General features: G+C 45.4%; 1 protein-coding gene across 20 annotated transcripts in view, besides 2 other annotated features; it reads right to left on the reverse strand.

The window, feature by feature from the left end:
• The window catches only part of RBFOX2 (RNA binding fox-1 homolog 2), a 290,089-nt gene extending 278,557 nt beyond the window's left edge, over positions 1–11,532 (reverse strand). For 19 of the 20 annotated variants that reach the window (NM_001394108.1, NM_001394111.1, NM_001394110.1 and 16 more), the window contains exon 1: positions 10,948–11,532. In NM_001394108.1, coding sequence (NP_001381037.1) covers positions 10,948–11,133 — 186 coding nt within the window. In that variant the 5' untranslated portion in view covers positions 11,134–11,532. Of the gene's footprint in view, positions 1–9,759; positions 9,792–10,947 lie in introns of those variants that run through there. The other variant, XM_017028686.1, reaches the window with a different exon arrangement.
• Positions 11,698–11,767: a silencer, noted in NCBI's record as "silent region_13660". NCBI's record gives its function as "represses an Ori minimal core promoter by ATAC-STARR-seq in GM12878 lymphoblastoid cells {active_cell/tissue: GM12878}" and the evidence as "EXISTENCE:reporter gene assay evidence [ECO:0000049][PMID:35858748]".
• Positions 17,935–18,678: an enhancer, noted in NCBI's record as "NANOG-H3K4me1 hESC enhancer chr22:36431275-36432018 (GRCh37/hg19 assembly coordinates)". NCBI's record gives its function as "activates a minimal SCP1, AML or CMV promoter by ChIP-STARR-seq in naive H9 embryonic stem cells {active_cell/tissue: H9 hESC(naive)}" and the evidence as "EXISTENCE:reporter gene assay evidence [ECO:0000049][PMID:30033119]".

Below are 19,493 nucleotides of genomic sequence, written 5' to 3' on the forward strand. Positions count from 1 at the left end.
CCGAGGCGGGTGGATCATGATGTCAGGAGTTCGAGACCAGCCTGGCCAACATGGTGAAACCCTGTCTCTACTAAAAATACAAAAATTAGCTAGGCTTGGTGGTGGGTGCCTGTAAATCCCAGCTACTCGGGAGGCTGAGGTAGGAGAATTGTTTGAACCCGGGAGGCGGAGGTTGCAGTGAGCCGAGATCATGCCATGGCACTCCAGCCTGGGCAAGAAGAGCAAAAACTCGGTCTCAAAAAAAATAAAAAATAAAAAATAAAGCTATAGTATCCGATGAAATTCACTGGTTGAGAAGAGAAAGGTTAAGGTCCCTAGCTGATCAAATAGTTCTCACCCCAAATGGTGGTAATACATGCGAACTGCTACACTCCAGAATCCTGCAGCAGCACTGTAAAAAGGTAAATCAACAGCCTGCTCCAGCGAACTGGAACAGGTTGGCTCTAATTGCCTCTCTCACTTGTGTGGTTCCTCTTTTCTCCTTAACCACACTATCACAAAGGAGCTTTTTACATATACACACGTGCACTCAATTAATATCTGAACACAGGAAACTAAATATCAGGTTGCTATGCCTACCCAACACATTCTGCAGTTAAATTCTACCCCAGCTTCTGTTTTCAGAGACCCCTCTCTCACCTTTAACCCTGATATCAATGAAAAGATCAGGTTAACATTCACATATCACACAACATGCAGTCTTCACAGGGGATAGAAAGCAGACCAAGGGCCAGACCCCCCAGGGAAAATCTGGATAAACAATTAAAGCCATCTGCAGGCCCCAACTGAGAAGCAGGAAGACAAAGTTCAATTTAACAAAAATGGACAGTTTCTTGACTACTTGGGCCCAGGCATGGTGCTTAATCCTACAGATTCCTAAGGATCTCACAGTCTGGGTAAGCGTGGTGGGGCAGACATTCAATCAAGTATTAATCTAAAAAGTCCTTTAACAGAGCTATAGACATGATGTCTTGGAAGACAGCAGGAGTGTGGGAGACATGGGAATAGTCACAAAAGGCATCCAGGAGGAATCAATATCCAAACTCATTATTAAAGATTGAGCCTTACAAATGTGGGGGTAGAAGAGATGAAGCAGGAACTTTGGGTAGAAGGGAAAGGAACAAAAGCACAGAGGTATTCATTAGCTGGGTGGCACCACATGCTAAGAAAACTATAAGCCACTGGACATGGACTTGGAGGTGGAATGTGGAAAGAGACGGAGCTTGAAAGTTACGCAGAAGTCAGGCCAAACAAGAGAACAGACAATCCTGAGAAAAAACACAAGCTCTCAAAAGATTTTAAGCGTGGAGTAACAAATTGACTCTTTTGTTTTATTTTTGAGACAGAGTCTCACTCTGTCATCCAGGCTGAAGTGCAGTGGCTCGATCTCTCCTCATTGCAACCTCCACCTCCTGGGTTCAAACAATTCTCCTGCCTCAGCCTCCCAAGTAGCTGGGATTACAGGCATGCGCCACCACGCCCAGCTAATTTTTGTATTTTTAGTAGAAACAGGGTTTCATCATGTTGGCCAGGCTGGTCTCGAACTTCTGACCTCAAGTCATCTGCCCGCCTCAGCCTCCCAAAGTGCTGGGATTACAGGCATGAGCCACCGCACCTGGCCAGATTGGCTCTTTTAGATAGATCACTGTGTTAGCAGTCTGGAGAGCGGGTTTGAAGAGACTGAAAAGGGACCACAAGAGACAACACAAAGGCATCCCAGCTCAATTTCCATAGACAAAATGAGAACAAAAAGTGCCACTTTTGAACCAACATACGTAACAAAACTTATAAAATTTGAAACACGACATTTTTACTGTTCCTGCCTTCCATGTACCACTAAAACAGCCAGTGAATCTGTCACCCACCCTCCCAACAGAGATCCCACGGGTTCTAAGAAATCCACATCCCCCCTGCAGACACTGTGATACTGCAGCAGTCCTTTCACTCCTTAGCAAAGAATTGTCTCCCCTTCCTCTGACAAGAGAGACCACAATGACCCAGTTCATTCCACTCCTCCACCCTGGATAATGAGCAAATGAGGTTTCCCCTTTAACACACTGCTCATCTCTAGTAGTTCCCAACTCTGGCACTTAATCAATCAGAAGCACATTAACCACTCCATGCAGATTAAACAGTAAGCAGGAAGTTAGTGAGTGCTGTATAGCAGGATATAAGGAAAGCAAGAAATAAACATGTAGTGCTGGGTTCCTTGATAGGCACCTTAAAGAATCTCAGTTCTCATTACAGTGGTTTATAAGAGTATACATTAATTCTCCCAGTTCACAGATGTGTGAGCAGGAGCTCAGAGATGTTGAATAGCTCATTCATTTGGTAAATGGAGAAGCCAGGATTCAAATCCCAAAATGAGAAGCTCTAAATGGTGTTTATTTACTACACCATATTTCAAGTATATATGGATAACAAATATGATTACATATTAAGGTTAGTAATAAAAATATCTCCCCTTTAAAAACAGAGAAGGGACTCATGGATAGGAAGAATCAATATCATGAAAATGGCCATACTGCCCAAGGTAAACTATAGATTCAATGCCATCCCCATCAAGCTACCAATGACTTTCTTCACAGAATTGGAAAAAACTACTTTGAAGTTCATATAGAACCAAAAAAGAGCCCACATTGCCAAGACAATCCTAAGCCAAAAGAACAAAGCTGGGGGCATCACGCTACCTGACTTCAAATTATACTACAAGGCTATAGTAACCAAAACAGCATGGTACTGGTACCAAGACAGAGATATAGACCAATGGAACAGAACAGAGCCCTCAGAAATAATACCACACATCTACAACCACCTGATCTTTGACAAACCTGACAAAAAACAAGAAATGGGGAAAGGATTCCCTATCTAATAAACGGTGCTGGGAAAACTGGCTAGCCATATGCAGAAAGCTGAAACTGGATCCCTTCCTTACACCTTATACAAAAATTAATTCAAGACGGATTAAAGATTTAAATGTTAGACCTAAAAGCATAAAAACCCTAGAAGAAAACCTAGGCAATACCATTCAGGACATAGGCATGGGCAAGGACTTCATGACTAAAACACCAAAAGCAATGGCAACAAAAGCCAAAATTGACAAATGGGATCTAATTAAACTAAAGAGCTTCTGCACAGCAAAAGAAACCACCATCAGAGTGAACAGGCAACCTACAGAATGGGAGAAAATTTTTACAATCTACCTATCTGACAAAGGGCTAATATCCAGAATCTACAATGAACTCAAACAAATTTACAAGAAAAAATCAAACAATCCCACCAAAAAGTGGGCAAAGGATATGAACAGACACTTCTCAAAAGAAATTTACGCAGCCAACAGACACATGAAAAAATGCTCATCATCACTGGTCATCAGAGAAATGCAAATCAAAACCACAATGAGATACCATCTCACAACAGTTAGAATGGCGATCATTAAAAAGTCAGGAAACAACAGGTGCTGGAGAGGATGTGGAGAAATAGGAACACTTTTACACTGTTGGTGGGACTGTAAACTAGTTCAACCATTGTGGAAGACAGTGTGGCGATTCCTCAAGGATCTAGAATTAGAAATACCATTTGACGCAGCCATCCCATTACTGGGTATATATCCAAAGGATTATAAATCATGCTGCTATAAAGACACATGCACACGTATGTTTACTGCAGCACTATTCACAATAGCAAAGACTTGGAACCAACCCAAATGCCCATCAATGATAAATTGGATTAAGAAAATGTGGCACATATACACCATGGAATACCATGCAGCCCTAAAAAAGGATGAGTTCACGTCCTTTGTAGGAACATGGATGAAGCTGGAAACCATCATTCTGAGCAAACTATCACAAGGACAGAAAACCAAACACTGCATGTTCTCACTCATAGGTGAGAATTAAACAATGAGAACACTTGGACACAGGGTGGGGAACATCACACAATGGGGCCTGTCCTGGGGTGGGGGGAGGGGGGAGGGATAACATTAGGAAATACACCTGATGTAAATGACGAGTTAATGGGTGCAGCCACACCAACATGGCACATGTATACATACATAACAAACCCGCACGTTGTGCACACGTACCCTAGAACTTGAAGTATAATAAAAATAAAAAATAAAAATAAAATAAAAACAGAGAAGGGACATATATCCTACGGTCTCAGATTAAGGGATCACTCACAAAAGTGACAAACGATCACAACTGGAATCTCCAAATGCTACTAAAAAAAAAAAGGTCACTTCTGAGCATTAGTGACCAAAAAATGTTCAGACTCAAATAATCAAAGCAATCTGGCTATCCTCCAGAGAAATATCTCAAATCCTCCACACACTTTCCCCTCAGAGTCCCTAAGACAATGTTTGAAAAAACTCATGGCTGACTGCTCATTCTCTTGAGTAAATGACTTCCCAAACTACTTTGCCCACCCAAATTACAGAAATGCGTCCAGGATTCACATGGCAGTTCTGATCCGATTTGTCCCAATCCTGGCTCAAGCAGCTTTGCTACTTTCCTAACTAGATCAGCATCAGCCAATGGGTTTATTCAAGCTGATCTGTGATGGATTAGATAATGAAACCTTAGCCATGTAAGCTGCCTGCTTGTATTGGGGTTGTAGAGGAGAATAAGAAGAAACTCAATACTCCTAGGGGCCACCTAAAACACCAAATGTACTCACCATCCCTCACTCCATCTGTCTGCTCATGCTCCAATTACTGCCATTTCCTTCCAATCATGTCTGTGGTTCTTCCCTCCTGCCTTTGAAGGAAGTGCACATTTGCCCCAGAATAAAGATGTTTACTATGCTTTACAAATGTATATCAACAAAAATTCAAAGAAATCTGCTTACTAAAATGACTGTCTTTTTCTACAAATTATTAAAGCCTGACATCAAACTGAAGGCCTGAGAGATGTTAAACTAGAGATTCACTAGCAACATTCTTGTTTATACAAAGTAGCATAACTCAATTTCTTTCTCAGCAGTCCTGTAAACTTGAGGCCTGTCTGCACCAGTCTGCTTTACAGCAAAATGAAAGTTAAATTTCTAGTTAGCTTCTGTTGTGTTCACATGTCAGCGTGATAGTGAAAAAAAAATGACAGAGTAGCTAGAAAATGGGAGGGAGTTGGGAGACAAACTCAACTCAAGCTAATCTCTTGAGTCACCCTGAAGAATAATTCTACTTTGAAATCAGATCTGACTTTCTCCTTCTCAAATACATTTCCAGTTTTACATCTGCAGACTTCCTTGTAAGACATGGGGAAAAAAGCAACAAGTTTTACATGACTGTTCCTCAGTTTCTCCATCTACAATATTTACCACTCTGGTAGTGTTACAGGCTTAATGTCTGTGTCCCTCTAAATTTCGTATGTTGAAGCCCTAACCCCAGTGTAATGGTATTTGGAGGTAGGACCTCTAGAATTAGCTTCAGATTGGGTCATGAGGGTGGGAACTACATGATAAATGAGTGCCCTTATAAGAAGAGGAAGAGACCACTGACTCTCTCTCCCCCAGGGCACAGACAAAGGAAAGGCCATGTGAACACACAGCAAGAAGACAGCTATCCACAAGCCAGAAGGTGGGCCCTCACCAGACATGAAATCTGCTGGCACCTTCATCTTGGACTTCCCAGCCTCCAAAACTGTGAGAAATAAATGTCTGTTGTTTAAGCCACCCAGTCTATGGTATTTTGCTGTGGCAGCCCAAGGACACTGGGACAGGGAGAGATGAAAAATTCAGTAATTTCAGTGAAATATTGTTCATGAAATTACTTGCAAGAAAAAAAAAACACAATATTTTTATAACTCTTCTTGAATGGTAGCACCATGCTTAGTTTCAGCACCAAATACCAAATGAGGGCACAAAGAGACATCCACCTATGAGGAAATAAGCCCATAAATAAGCAAATGGGAAGATAAACTACTTCAATAAACACAGCATCTACAAAGCAACTTCAGGCTATCTGGAACCCCTTCCCTGAAACCTGAAAGAAAGTCATCTTACTACTAGAATCAGCTGCTAATAGGAATAACTGCTGAACCCACTTGGCTAAACTGGATTTATGACTCTATGGTGAGAAGCGGTTACTTGGCCATATAATAATTATACCATATCAACATTTCACTGACACAAAGAATTCTGCTGAAAGCTATAAGTAATAAGGTACATCTTACCTTATACAGCAGCTAAACTCTTAGAAAACTGCACAAAAATAAAATTTTTATGAATCAAATTGTTCACTAGAAAAGCTGACCAAAAGAATTCATTCCCCACTACATTGTATAGAGCGTAAATTTCATACATATTAAACTTAAAGTGAAATGAACCTCTAATAGCCCTATATTTAACTCATTTAACTTCCCACAAACTTTGAGTACAGTATTTCCAAGTACTCTCTTTAACTACATTTCTCAAACTGTACATCAGCTTTCCAGTTGAGTTTGTCACTTCCCTCCTACTCTCTGGTTCACGTTTCTCTATTTCTGTACTCTTTCCAGGGCTGCACTGACTCCTCTTCCACCTACATCAAGTTTCTGTATACTGCCTTTGAAAGCACCGACCCTTCCTCTCTTTCTCCTAGGGTTCCTTCTGAGCCTAAGGATTATAACAAAAGCATCACAGACTCTCTGGCGTTTCCTAAACTCCATTTTGGTAAGTGATGATTTACTCCAAAAGCTTAGTGGTACAACTTAACAAGATTCAACTTTGGAATCTAACGCTTAGCACTACAGCTCCATTTAGTAAGCAGCCTTGGGAATGACCCCAGTAAATGAACTTATTCTATAAAAAGCGGTTAATCCTTTGACATTCAAAGTGCCTGGAAAATTCTGTGATGATACCCTCACTCTGGAATTTCACAATTTTTCTTAATCCTTAACTATCTGTAAAAGGTAAATTTCAATTTCAATTTAACAGGCATTGAGCACTTACCAAGTACCCAAAACTGTTAGGTATTACGAAGGATAAATACAAAGGAAATATAGTTCCTATCTTTTAGAAGCTTACAATCTTAGCAGTGAAACAAGAATAATAAAACAATTAAGGGACAATAAAAGATGACACACAATTAAGCATCAATATACCAAGAGGCAAGAGTAGGATCGGAATGGTGTGAACTAAGCTGTCAGGGAAGGCTTCACAAAAGGAGTTAGAAAACGTGTTAAGAAAACAGGCCAGGTGCAGTGGCTCATGCCTGTAATCTCAGCACTTTGGGAGGCCAACGCAGGCGATCACCTGAGGTCAGGAGTTCGAGACCAGCCTGGCCAACATGGTGAAACCTCATCTCTACTATAAATACAAAAATTAGCGGGGTGTGGTGGCACATGCCTGTAATCCCAGCTACTCAGGAGGCTGAGGCATAAGAATTGCTTGAACCCAGGAGGCAGAGGTTGCAGTGAGCTGAGATCAAGCCACTGCACTCCAGCCTGGGCAACAGTGAGACTCCATCTCAAAAAAAAAGAAAAAAAAGACGTGTACTTTAAGACAAACCCACATACCCAAAACACTGGCTACGATAAGATTTTTTTTATTTTTTTGAGACAGATTTTCGCTCTTGTTGCCCAGCCTGGAGTGCAATGGCGCAACCTCAGCTAACTGCAACCTCCGCCTCCCGAGTTCAAGTGATTCTCCTGCCTCAGCCTCCCTAGTAGCTGGGATTACAGGCGCCTGCCACCACGCCTGGCTAATTTTTTGTATTTTTAGTAGAGACGGGTTTCACTATGTTGGCCAGGCTGGTCTCGAACTCCTGATCTCAGGCGATCCACCCGCCTCAGTCTCCCAAAGTGCTGGGATTACAGGCGTGAGCCACTGCGCCCGGCTAAGATTTTTAAAGTGTGTATTTACATAGGGCCTATAGATATTTCTAAACCACTGATACCATCTCCTAAGACTACCTGCCCTTGCTCTCTCTGCTCCAGCTATTAATACATTGGTCTCCTGTTTCCAAACAAACCAAGCAGTCTTTCTCAATGCCTGTGCACCCTCACCTCCTCTACCTGAACCCTCTTTCCGAAAGCATCTGAATGGCCCATTACCTCACTTCACTCATAGGCCATCTATCTTAAAGCCCTTCCGTAACCATCTTCATTCTCTCCCTTTCCATCTCTCCCTTTCCCTGCTTTTTCTTTTTAGCCCTTATCACCACACAATTATAGTTGTTGATTTATTAGATGTCTCTTTCCATTCAATATTAGTTCCATGACAGCAAGGGTTTTTTGTTGTTGTTGTTCACTATTATATCTCTTAGGGTTAAAACAGTGCCTGGGATGTAGCAGCTGCTTAATAAATGTTAGTTCAATGAATAAACATTAAGTATATTCATGTAATACTCTCACACTTCTTTAAAAATGCACGCTTCTTTAAAAAAAACTTTTCGCCCATTTGTCTCCCCACATAGATTGCATGCACCTTAAGGACAGTGAACTGGACTTATAACTTTTAGAAGGTAACTTAGAACTTGGCCGGGTGCGGTGCCTCACACCTGTAATCCCAGCACTTTGGGAGGCCGAGGTGGGTGGATTACAAGGGAAATCATCTTGTACACATACTTTATTTTACAACTAAGGAAAACAGAGGCCCCAAAATGAAAGATTTCTGCAGAACCATTCAGCTAGTTGAAGGCAGGGCCTAAATCAATGATTTGAATACCTGTATGACATAGGGGAATGGACCTACAACAATGGGAATGTATAGAAGGCCGGGTGTGGTGGCTCACACCTGTAATCCCAACATTTTGGGAGGCTGAGGTGGGTGAATCACCTGAGGTCAGGAGTTCGAGACCAGCCTGGCCAACCTGGTGAAACCCCCTCTCTACTAAAAATAAGAAAAATTAGCTGGGCATGGTGGCAGACGCCTGTAATCCCATCTACTCAGGAAGCTGAGGCAGGAGAATCCCTTGAACCCAGAGGTGGAGGTGGAGGTGGAGGTTGCAGTGAGCCGAGATCGTGCCATTGCACTCCAGCCTGGGCAAAAAAAAAAAAAAGAGAATGTATAGAAAGAAAATAAAATACAAGAAGTGAAAAAAGGATTCTCGGAGGGATAACTCTCAGCTGCCAATTTGTACCCCCAAGGACCTAACCACTCTTTCCTCTGCACACCCCTGCGAAGTCCCTACACACTGCTCCATTTCCAAATATCACTATCTTTAGCCAGTTTGAAGGCAACCAACAGATAATAGGCCCCAGGAGTAAATGAGGGAAAGGGACGGGGGTCTCACTATTAACTAGGATTGACAGAAATGATAAATGAATACATACACACACACACACACACACACACACACACACCAAGTAGAACCTGCTCACCAGCACCTACATCCAGTCTTCCCTCCTTATCATCCAATATTAGCTCACCTCACCTGAAGTCTCCCACATTCCTGTCTTTTTTGCCATGGCCCTGAGCTTTTACTTCTCACAATCCCTCTGCCTGACAGAGTTCTAATGGAAAATAAAAGCAGGCAAACAAAACAAAAGAATTCAAAAATAAACACCAAGAGGGTCACTTTACCTAAATCAACAGAAGTAACAGGGTAAACTCTGCAAAGGAGACCAAGAAGCATACAACAAACATGCTAGGCTTAAGTACAGCTCTGTCCCTAACACAGGAAGTCAGGCAGAGGCTTGAAAAGCAGGGAGCAGAGCACAGGAAGTCTTTTAGCACTGCAGAGATTTCCAAGAGTGGTGTAATGGAGACAGCACAGGAATAGGAATTAGAAGACCAGGCTTCTAGTTCTAGTTTTACTATTAGCTAACTGGGTGGCCTTACCCAAGTCACCATCTTCTCTGGACTTCTGATTCCCCATCTATAAAATAAGGTGGTTAAAACAAGCTGGGACTTGAATCTCCTCCAAAAAAAACAAAGATGAAAACTATTGACTCTCCTCCACCAAAAAGTGCACATCACCTACTATGAGTAAGAATCTTCCAAGTCTTCCCAGGTTAAGAACCCCTGGAAAAGATGATGTCTAGTCCTCCTAGCATCCCTCTAACATCCTATGACTCCGAGAGAATTAGGCACAAGTCTGCACAACTGTTGGTAGGTGAGACTCATCATGTCATAGCAGTATTTTCTGGGCAAAGACCAAATCGTAAAACCTCCAAAGGTTTCAAGGTCTTCTTCAAAACTATGAAGTCAGCTGACATCAATACCTTTCCCATTCCCTACCCAAATTAACCACGTTTATCTTTCAATCCAGAATTGAGAATCCAGTCTTCTAATAGCCCTATAAAAAAATTTTTTTTATAGCCCGGGACATTAAAGAGCTATTTTGTGTCCTGGTGATGTAGAATGCAATTGGCAAAGAACAGGAGGGACATGTCTAGTGTCTCCCTTCAGACTCATTAGTATGCTCCACAAAGTAAATGAGACTGAGCACCACCGTGTCCCCATAACATTACCAAACTCCTTGTACTTCTCACACTCTGTGTGATTTAACCCACAATCTCAGCCACATCCCCTCGGGGCTCTCTCGAGGAGTTTTCTTTTCACTCCTCTCATTGAAATGCCACTTCTCTTCCCCATCCCAGCGTGTGCCCAGGGCTGCCAAAAGGTACTCCCTCTTCTCGGGAGGTTTCCCACCAGATCTCCTTTTCCTCGACTCAGTCCAGAGAAGCCAGGATTTCCCGGCTTCCACTCCACCCCAAGGCACTAAGGAAGGATTTGAAAAAATGGAATCCATCTCAACCTTGTTCGATTTCCCCCCAAAACCTATCCACTCGTCGTGCCTCCTGGCCCCTCAGGAATCAGGACCCTCTCGGGCACACCAGGTTCAGTCCTGCAACCTTCGTTCCTAGCCCGAGCTCGCCCCACCTTCCAACCAGGCCCCGAATGGCCCCCCATCCCACCTCCAACCCAGGACTCCCGGAGGCCCTCCCTCTCTCCAAGCCGGGGAGCCCGGTGTCGACCCTCACGCCCACCCCCGCAATAACTGGGCGCCCCGTCCCGCGCGGTCACCTGCATCCCGCCGCCACCGTCGGCCGCCGCCTCCTCAGTGCGCGGCCGCTTGCTCAGGCCGGGATCGGCTCCGTCTCCTCCCGCTCCGGGCACCGGCAGCTCCAGCTCCGACTCCCGCTTCATGCCCCGGGCGGCGGCGCCGGGCCCGAGCTGAGGCGGCTGATGCGGCTGGGCGCCCTCCGCCATCCGCCCGCGCCCCCCTCGCCTCCGGGAGCCGGGCGACCCGCGACAGGCCACCTCCCCCTGGGCCTCGGCCCCGACTGTCGCGACAGGCGGGCGCGCGCCTGCCCCCGCCCCCGCGTGCGTGCGTGCGTGCGCGCGAGCGGACTCCGCGCCCCTCCGCGCCTCGCGGCCGCCGCTCCTTGCCTGACCGCTTGCTCCCCGCCCGCCCGCCCGCCGGGTTGTCGGCGCGGGGCCACTGGCGGGTCGTGATGAGCACTCGCTCGCGCCCCCGCACGCACACGCGAAACCCGGCCCGGCCCGCCGCGCCGCCCCGCCTCTCGCACTCCCGGAGCTCGCCCACCGGCCGCGCTGGCTCACACTCTCCCTCACAGCACGCCGGCCGAGGGAGGAAGGGGGCGGTCCGGGCTCCCGAGGCGTGGGGAGGGCTGTTTATTTTGGGGGGAGGAGGGGCGCGAGGCAGGAACGAGCTGACTGGCCGGGATCCTCCGACCCGCCACTGTGGCAGCACCGGGAAGGCGGGGAGAGAGAAAGAGGGAGGGAGGGAGGGACCGGGATGTAGAACTCCAGCCCGCGCGGGAGGCTACGGCGAGGGGGGCGGTGGCGGCCCGCGGGGGGGGCGGGGCCAGGCCCCCTCGGCAATCTCCGTAGTCTCCTCGCTGGCTGCCCGAGGGAGGCCGGGAAGCGATCGGGGAAGCTCGGGAATCTCCGGCACGGGCCTGGGATTGTCCTGGAGGCACAGCGCGGCTGGAGTGCGGGGCAGCGCGGGGGGGGCGGGGTCTGTCTCCTTTCTGGGCGGGGCCGTATCCTGGAGCAGGCGGGGCTTGAGAGACCCGAAGGCCAGGGAGTGGCTCCTGCTTGCGGTACTAGTTGTACAGAGTTAAGTCCTGAGTTTACTCGCCTGAGCACCTTGGTTCCCGGAGAGGGAATGGGCACTCTGTGAGAGGCAGGCTATTTGCCTGCTTCCCCTCCCGCAGAAGAAAAAATGTCTCAAATTGGAAGGTCGAGGAATGAAGCCACCCCTCTATGGTTCACCCCAGTTCTGAGAGCTTTTACTCTAATATAACTCACATTCCTAATGAAGTTAGTAATAATACCCGATGTTTGTAAGAGCTTTAGAGTTTGCACAATGCATCCACAGACCCGTTTCAAACTGGTGATATAAGTAGATACCATGATCTCCATTTCATTGATGATGAAACTGAACCTTAGTTAAATCCTGCAGCAAAAAAGTGGCAGATCCGGAATTCAGAACACGAGAACATATTCTCTTTCTTCGTACCTTGCTGCCTGAGGAGCACTTTATGACTTACCAACTTCGTGGAGATAGAGATATCTGTGCAATAGATTCTCTCCCCTACCAGACTGTGAGGACAAGGACTGCAGTGACTTCCTCTGAGTTCCATATCGTGCCCTGTACGTTATAGAAATAAAAGGATATTGCGTGAATAACCTGGATTCTAATCTTGGCTTTGCTAACTAGCTTAAACAAGTTACTTCATCTCTTTGGACCTCAGCTCCATCATTTGTAAAATGAGATGGTTTGGATCAGTGGCTTTCAACCAAGGAGAAATTTTGCCATTCCACCACCTCCACTCCCACATTTGTCAGTGACTGAAGGCATTTTTTTTTTTTTTTTTTTTTTTTTTTTTGAGACAGAGTCTCGCTCTGTCGCCCAGGCTTAAGTGCAGTGGCGCGATCTCGGCTGACTGCAACCTCTGCCTCCTGGGTTCAAGCGATTCTCCTGCCTCAGCCTCCCCAGTAGCTGGGACTACAGGTGTGCGCCACCAACTAATTTTTGTATTTTTAGTAGAGATGGGGTTTCACCATGTTGGCCAGGCTGGTCTCGAACTCCTGACTTCAGGTGATCCGCCTGCCTCGGCCTCCCAAAGTGCTGAGATTACAGGAGTTAGCTGCCGCGCCTGGCCGACTGAAGGCATTTTTGATTGTTACAGTGGGGAGGTGCTGCTGGCATCTAGTGTGTAGAAGCCAGGAATGTTGCTTGACATCCTATCATGCACAGGACGGTCCCCCCAGGAGAGTTATCCAACCCCAAATGTCAATAGTGCGGAGGTTGAGAAACGCTGGGTTAGATGATTTCCAAGGTCATTTCCAACCAGTGTGTGATTTGGCCTTTGAACCTGGGTTTAACCTGGCTGGGGCTGGAACAGTACAACAGTAAAGATCCCTGCTTCAGAGTCAGACCAACCCAGATGAGAACGCAGGCTTCCCACCTCCTGCCCACGTAATCTGGGACCAGTGGTGACTAAGAACTTCCATATAAAAGGTGTTTGGGGATTGCAGACTGGTTGGAAGGGAAGTCGGGAGGACTTGCCTTGAAGGTGAGTTGTTGTATTGAGCATATTGTTTGTATTACTTAGGCTGTGTTATAAATCAGTAAAAATAGCAGAGTTTTAGCTCTGCCACCTGCAAGTCATGATGCCTTGTGACAGCTACTTACCCCCTCTGTGTCTCAGTTTCTTCATCTGCAAATTAGGATAACAATAATACCTTCCTGAAAAGATTATTGTAAGAATTTAATGTTATCACGTTTAGAACTTTGAACGGAATGATTTAGGATAAGCGCTCCATAAGTGTTACAGCTAACACTTATAGCTAACTAATAATAGCTTATTAGTAGTACCATTATCACTTTATTCACTTTTTTTTTTTCAGATGGAGTCTCGCTCTGTCACCCAGACTGGAGTGCAGTGGTGTGATCTCGGCTCACTGCAACCTCCACCTCCTGGGTTCAAGCAATTCTTGTGCCTCAACTTCCCAAGGAGCTGTGATTACAGGCGCCCACCACCACGCCCGGCTAATTTTTTGTATTTTTAGTAGAGACAGGGTTTCACCATGTTGGCCAGGCTGGTCTCGAACTCCTGACCTCAAGTGATTCCCCCCCTTTGGCCTCCCGAAGTACTGGGATTACAGGCATGAACCACCAGGCCTGACCTTTATTCACATTTTAAATGAGAGTGAAAAAACATTCATTGTCAAGATCAAAGAATATCATTATCATTATTATTGGGTTTTTTTTAATTATGTAAGGTGACTTGAGTGGGGCTGCTAGAGATTCACATGCGGCAAGCAAAGCACCCCAGTAACCCCTTGGTGCAACCACTATGCTGGGCAAATTACTTTGTTTCACTAAGCCTTCCATTCCTCATTTGTAGGATAACAATAATAGTCACAGTGTTGTTCTAAGGATTAAATGGGACAAAAGTAAACACTTAGCACAGTGCCTAACATAGTAACTGCTTAATAGGTGGTAATTATTCATCAACTAATTTGGTTAGTGATACAGTAAGCTTAACCAGGGGCCTTGGAAAGAGAAGCCTTAAACAACTTCTTCTTCTTCTTCTTCTTTCTTCTTTCTTCTTTCTTCTTTCTTCTTTCTTCTTTCTTCTTCTTTCTTCTTCTTCTTCTTCTTTTTTTTGAGACAGGATCTCACTGTCTCCCAGGCTGGAGTGCAGTGGCCCAATCTCAGCTCACTGCAACCCCCGCCTCCCAGATTCAAGCGATTCTCCTGCCTCAGCCTGCCAAGTAGCTGGGATTAGAGTCACGCACCACCATGCCCAGCTAACTTTGTGTATTTTTAGCAGAGACAGGGTTTCACCATGTTGGTCAGGCTGGTCTCAAACTCTTGGCCTCAACTGATCCTCCCGCCTCAGCCTCCCAAAGTGCTGGGATTACAGGCGTGAGCCACCACGCCCAGCCCTGACACATCTCTTAGTATTATTATTTGGACCACCAAGGTGGAAGTCCAAGTGCCTACAAGCTTGTTCTTGTGCTGAATTAGCCCCAACCTAAGTCAGCGGTTTCCACTTGGCAGTACCCCACAACCTGATCCTGTTCAACCAAGCAGTATGGCTTTGAGGGATAACCAGGATATTTCCTGGTGGCCTATGAAACAACAGCGGGTTTTGTCTTTTTTTTTTTTTTCTTTAACCTAGGGACATCAGCAGTTGGTCTTCTGAAATTTTTACTTATTGAACTGGTAGCATAAGAATTCTCCCTTCCCAACTGGGCATGGTGGCTCACACCTGTAATCCCAGCACTTTAGGAGGCCGAAGCGGGCAGATCACTTGAGGTCAGGAGTTCAAGACCAGACTGGGCAAAATGGTGAAACCCCATTTCTACTAAAAATACAAAAAATTTAGCCAGGTGTGGTGACAGCTGCCTGTAATCCCAGCTACTCAAGAGGCTGAGCCAGTAGAATTGCTTGAATCTGGAAGGCAGAGGTTGCAGTGAGCCGATATCGCGCCACTGCATTCCAGCCTGGGCTACAGAGTGAGACTCTCTCTCCAAAAAAAGAGAATTCTCCCTTCCCTGCTTGCCTTGCCAAACTACTGAAATCTTAATGATGTTAGATCTTCCTGGGCTGTCCCCTGACCCAGCAAGAAATGAGATTTGAGATCGGGGCTGCCAGTGACTCAAATTTTTGTTATTCAGGTAACGCTCAAGTCCCTTAGAAACAGAGCAATGCAGTATAGAAATGTCTGAATGACCAGGCAGAACAAAGAAAAATTGGACCCTGCCCTGGAAACAAGCATTATGTATTTAAGGAGAAAGAGGAGAGTTAAACGCCTACAAATCATAGAAGAGGCAAAATGCATCCATGGCAGCACAAAGACCAGATCATTTCTTTTCTTTTTTTTTTCTTTTTTTTTTTTTTTTGAGACAGAGTCTTGCTCCGTTGCGCAGGCTGGAGTGCAGTGGTGCAATCTTGGCTGACTGCAAGCTCCGCCTCTCGGGTTCACGCCGTTCTCCTGCCTCAGCCTCCCGAGTAGCTGGGACTACAGGCGTCTACCACCACACCCGGCTAATTTTTTGTATTTTTAGTAGAGACAGGGTTTCACCATGTTAGCCAGGATGGTCTTGATCTCCTGACCTCATGATCCGCCCGCCTCGGCCTCCCCAAATGCTGGGATTACAGGCGTGAGCCACCGTGCCCGGCCGATCATTTCTTTTATATACATCTGCAGCCATTTGTTTAGAAGCAGGTAGTTAGGAAACATTACAGAGGAAGAGGACATTAAATATTTTCGGTCACTGGCTCATGCCTGTAATCCCAGCACTTTGGGAGGCCGAGGCAGGCAGATCACCTGAGCTCAGGAGTTCGAGACCAGCCTGGCCAACATGGCAAAACCCCGTCTCTACTAAAAAATACAAAAATTAGCTGGGTGTGGTGCCGTGCACTTGTAATCCCAGTTACTCAGGAGGCTGAGGCAGGAGAATAGCTTGAACTCAGGAGGACAGAGGTTGCAGTGAGCTGAGATCATGCCACTGTACTCCAGACTGGGTGACAGAGTGAGACTCTGTCTAAAAAATAAATAAATAAAAATATTTTCCTAGAAAGAATTTTTAGCTGCAGAAACTGTTGCAGTTCTAACATTTATTCACTTATTCATTCAACAAATTATGGGCAAGTGTCTGGAATACCAAGATGACAAAAAAAAAATTATTCTTAGTCCCAAAGAGCTCACAATCTAGGGAGGAAGAGATGAACAAATCCAAAGACAATTGCAATGCATTATGATAAGGGAGTCATCTCTCACAGTGGCCAAGAACATAGACTCTGATGTCAAACTGACATGGGTCTGAGTCTGACTTTGCCATATATCTTACCTTGGACAAGACCTTAGCATCTCTGAGGCCTGGTTTCTTCATTTATGTGACAGGCACTGGTAGTTACCAACCCAATATCCATTCTCCTCTTACTCCATCCTAGCAGAACCCCAATTTTGTTCAGGACAGAAATCTGCTTAGCAATTAAAAAAAAAAAAAAATTCTCTGGTTCCCTGAAAGCTAAGGGTGGCCACGTAACACCATCCTAGCCAGCGAGATGTGGGTGGAAGATAGCATTCCTTCCTAGTTAATAAGACAAAACCGCTGGGCATGGTGGGTCACGCCTGTAATCCCAGCACTTTGGGAGGCTGAGGCGGGTGGATTACCAGAGGTCAGGAGTTCGAGACCAGCCTGACCATGGTGAAACCCTGTCTCTACTAAATACAAAAAATTATCCAGGCGTGGTGCTGTATGCCTGTAATCCCAGCTACTTGGGAGGTTGAGGCAGGAAAATCGCTTGAACCCGGGAGACAAAGGTTGCAGCGAGCTGAGATTGTGCCACTGCATTCCAGCCTGGGCAACAAGAGGGAAACTCTGTCTCAAAAAAAAAAAAAAAAAAGACAAAGCCACAAGAAGAAAAGAAGAAAAGGCTCTTTGCCCTTTGTCCTTTGCCCTTCACCCTTTCTCCTGCCTGGAACACACACCGGAAAAACAGCAGACATCTTGTCTTCAAAATAGCAGAAGCCACATGCTAAGAATAGTACTGCAGGGAAGGGTGGCTCATGTCTGTAATCCCAGCACTTTGGGAGGCCAAGGCAGGCAGATCACTTGAGGTCAGGAGTTCGAGACCAGCCTGGTCAACATGGCGAAACCCCATCTCTACTAAAAATACAAAAATTAGCCAGGCGTGTTGGTGCAACGTGGTCCCAGCTACTTGGGAGGCTGAGGCATGAGGAGCGCTTGAACCCAGGAGGCAGAGGTTGCAGAAAGCTGACATCACACCGCTGCACTCCAGCCTGGGTGACAGAGCAAGACTCTGTCTCAAAAAAAAAAAAAAAGAATAGTATTGTAGATCCACCATACCAGCCCGAGCCTGTCTATGCTAATTTATTGTTATTTGAGAAAAATAAGTCCTCATTTGGTTAAGCCACTGCGGACAGGTTTCAACATGTGGCCAAACTCAACTCCTAACTGATATGATCTATAAACCAAACACAATAATAGTACCTCCCCTGACATTCTTTTGACCACTAAATAATGCATGTAAAACACTTAGCATGACACCTGGTTCACAAACACACTCAATAAATGTTAATTTAGACCCTTTTACTACGCTATTGCATCTACTATCTTTATTAATATGATTATTATATATGCCAAAAGCAATAGGGGTATTACAGAAAGATGTAACTCCGTCTGCCTGGGGGAGAGAGAACAAGTTTCACCCAGAGTGTTACATTTGACCTGGCTCTTTCAAAATGAGGAGGAATTTCCCAGGGAATGGTTTCTGATAAAAGGTAGTAAATTCTTGTGTGCCCTTTCCATGGGCTTAGAAGAGTTTGGCACTGCCCACTGGGTTGCTACCAGGAGAAAACTCAGCACAGGGCTTGGAGTCAAAGGACCAGGACTGGAGTCAGCTGCGGTCTTCAATAGAACAAAGACTGGGAGAGTTAAGTGGGCTGTCCATCTGTGAAAAGCGAGCCAGAGTACCTAGCCACAGGGCTATTGCGAGGTCTTTAGGAGATAAGAGATCTTGGGAAAGATCTATTCAAATGCCAGTTGCAGCTAACCCAGTAGTCTGGTTACCTACAAGCTGGTGGTGTAAAATCTCTTTGCGTTCTTTGAGAACATGATCACTTTCCTAATTCCTGTTTTTTGTTTCTGTGTTCCTAGCACCTAGCACTGAGCTTGACATAAAACTTGGCTATTCCAAGACTCCTGAAGATATTAAAAAACACAACTGCAGACCTAAGATTTTCCCTAGAAAAACAGATAAAGACCCGGAGCAGATAATCTTAAAATACTGTCTTAACCAGGCAGTCCTCTGAATAAAGACAGGGTCTAAGTCCTTCCCCAAAATTGATCACCTCTCTAATCAGAGCGAAGAGAGGAGATATAAATAGAAGAGACCATTTTCTACTCCAAAGCTTTCTTTTCAAAAAAAAAAAAAAAAATTCAGAGAATACCCTTGATAATTCATGGGCCAGAGGAAGTGGAAGCAGCTCCTGCCATGTGCCTGGCTGATCTGGGAGAAGATACAGAGTCTAATGAGAAACTGAATTCAGCAAAAAAGGAACGAGTGATGTTTAAGCCTCATTAGGGCTATAGAACCAGCGTTCTGACAAAAAAATACTCGCTATTGACTTTGACCTCACTTCCCTACCTCCCTCTGTTCGTGGGATTATTGAACCAGGGTTTTTCCTATAGGCCAGAACCTTGCCAGCCCTTTTGCCCTTCACATAATGTGTTTGTCTGGTTTCTATTTCTGTAGTTTGATGAAGGATGATAGCAGGGTATTGAATTGTTGTTTTTCATTTAGTGCAGTCGCCGCCCTCACCCTGCCCACCACCCCCCACCCTGCTCTCAAGTCATTTTCATTGTCTGTTTTTTGCCTTGAGGTTTTTATTGCTTCTTCAGAGTGGAAGAAGGCTTTGTTTTATTTTGTTTTCCAGGCGCTGGTATACATAACCTCATGGATCCATCCTTCCTGCAAAAATTATGGTGTTTCTAAATCGGCAACAATTTCCTTTCACTGGGGAAAGGCAGGGAAGGGTCAGATATTTGCTGAGCCCATA

This window comes from Homo sapiens, chromosome 22 (genome assembly GCF_000001405.40).
Source record: "Homo sapiens chromosome 22, GRCh38.p14 Primary Assembly".
NCBI classification, from domain to species: Eukaryota; Metazoa; Chordata; class Mammalia; order Primates; family Hominidae; genus Homo; species Homo sapiens.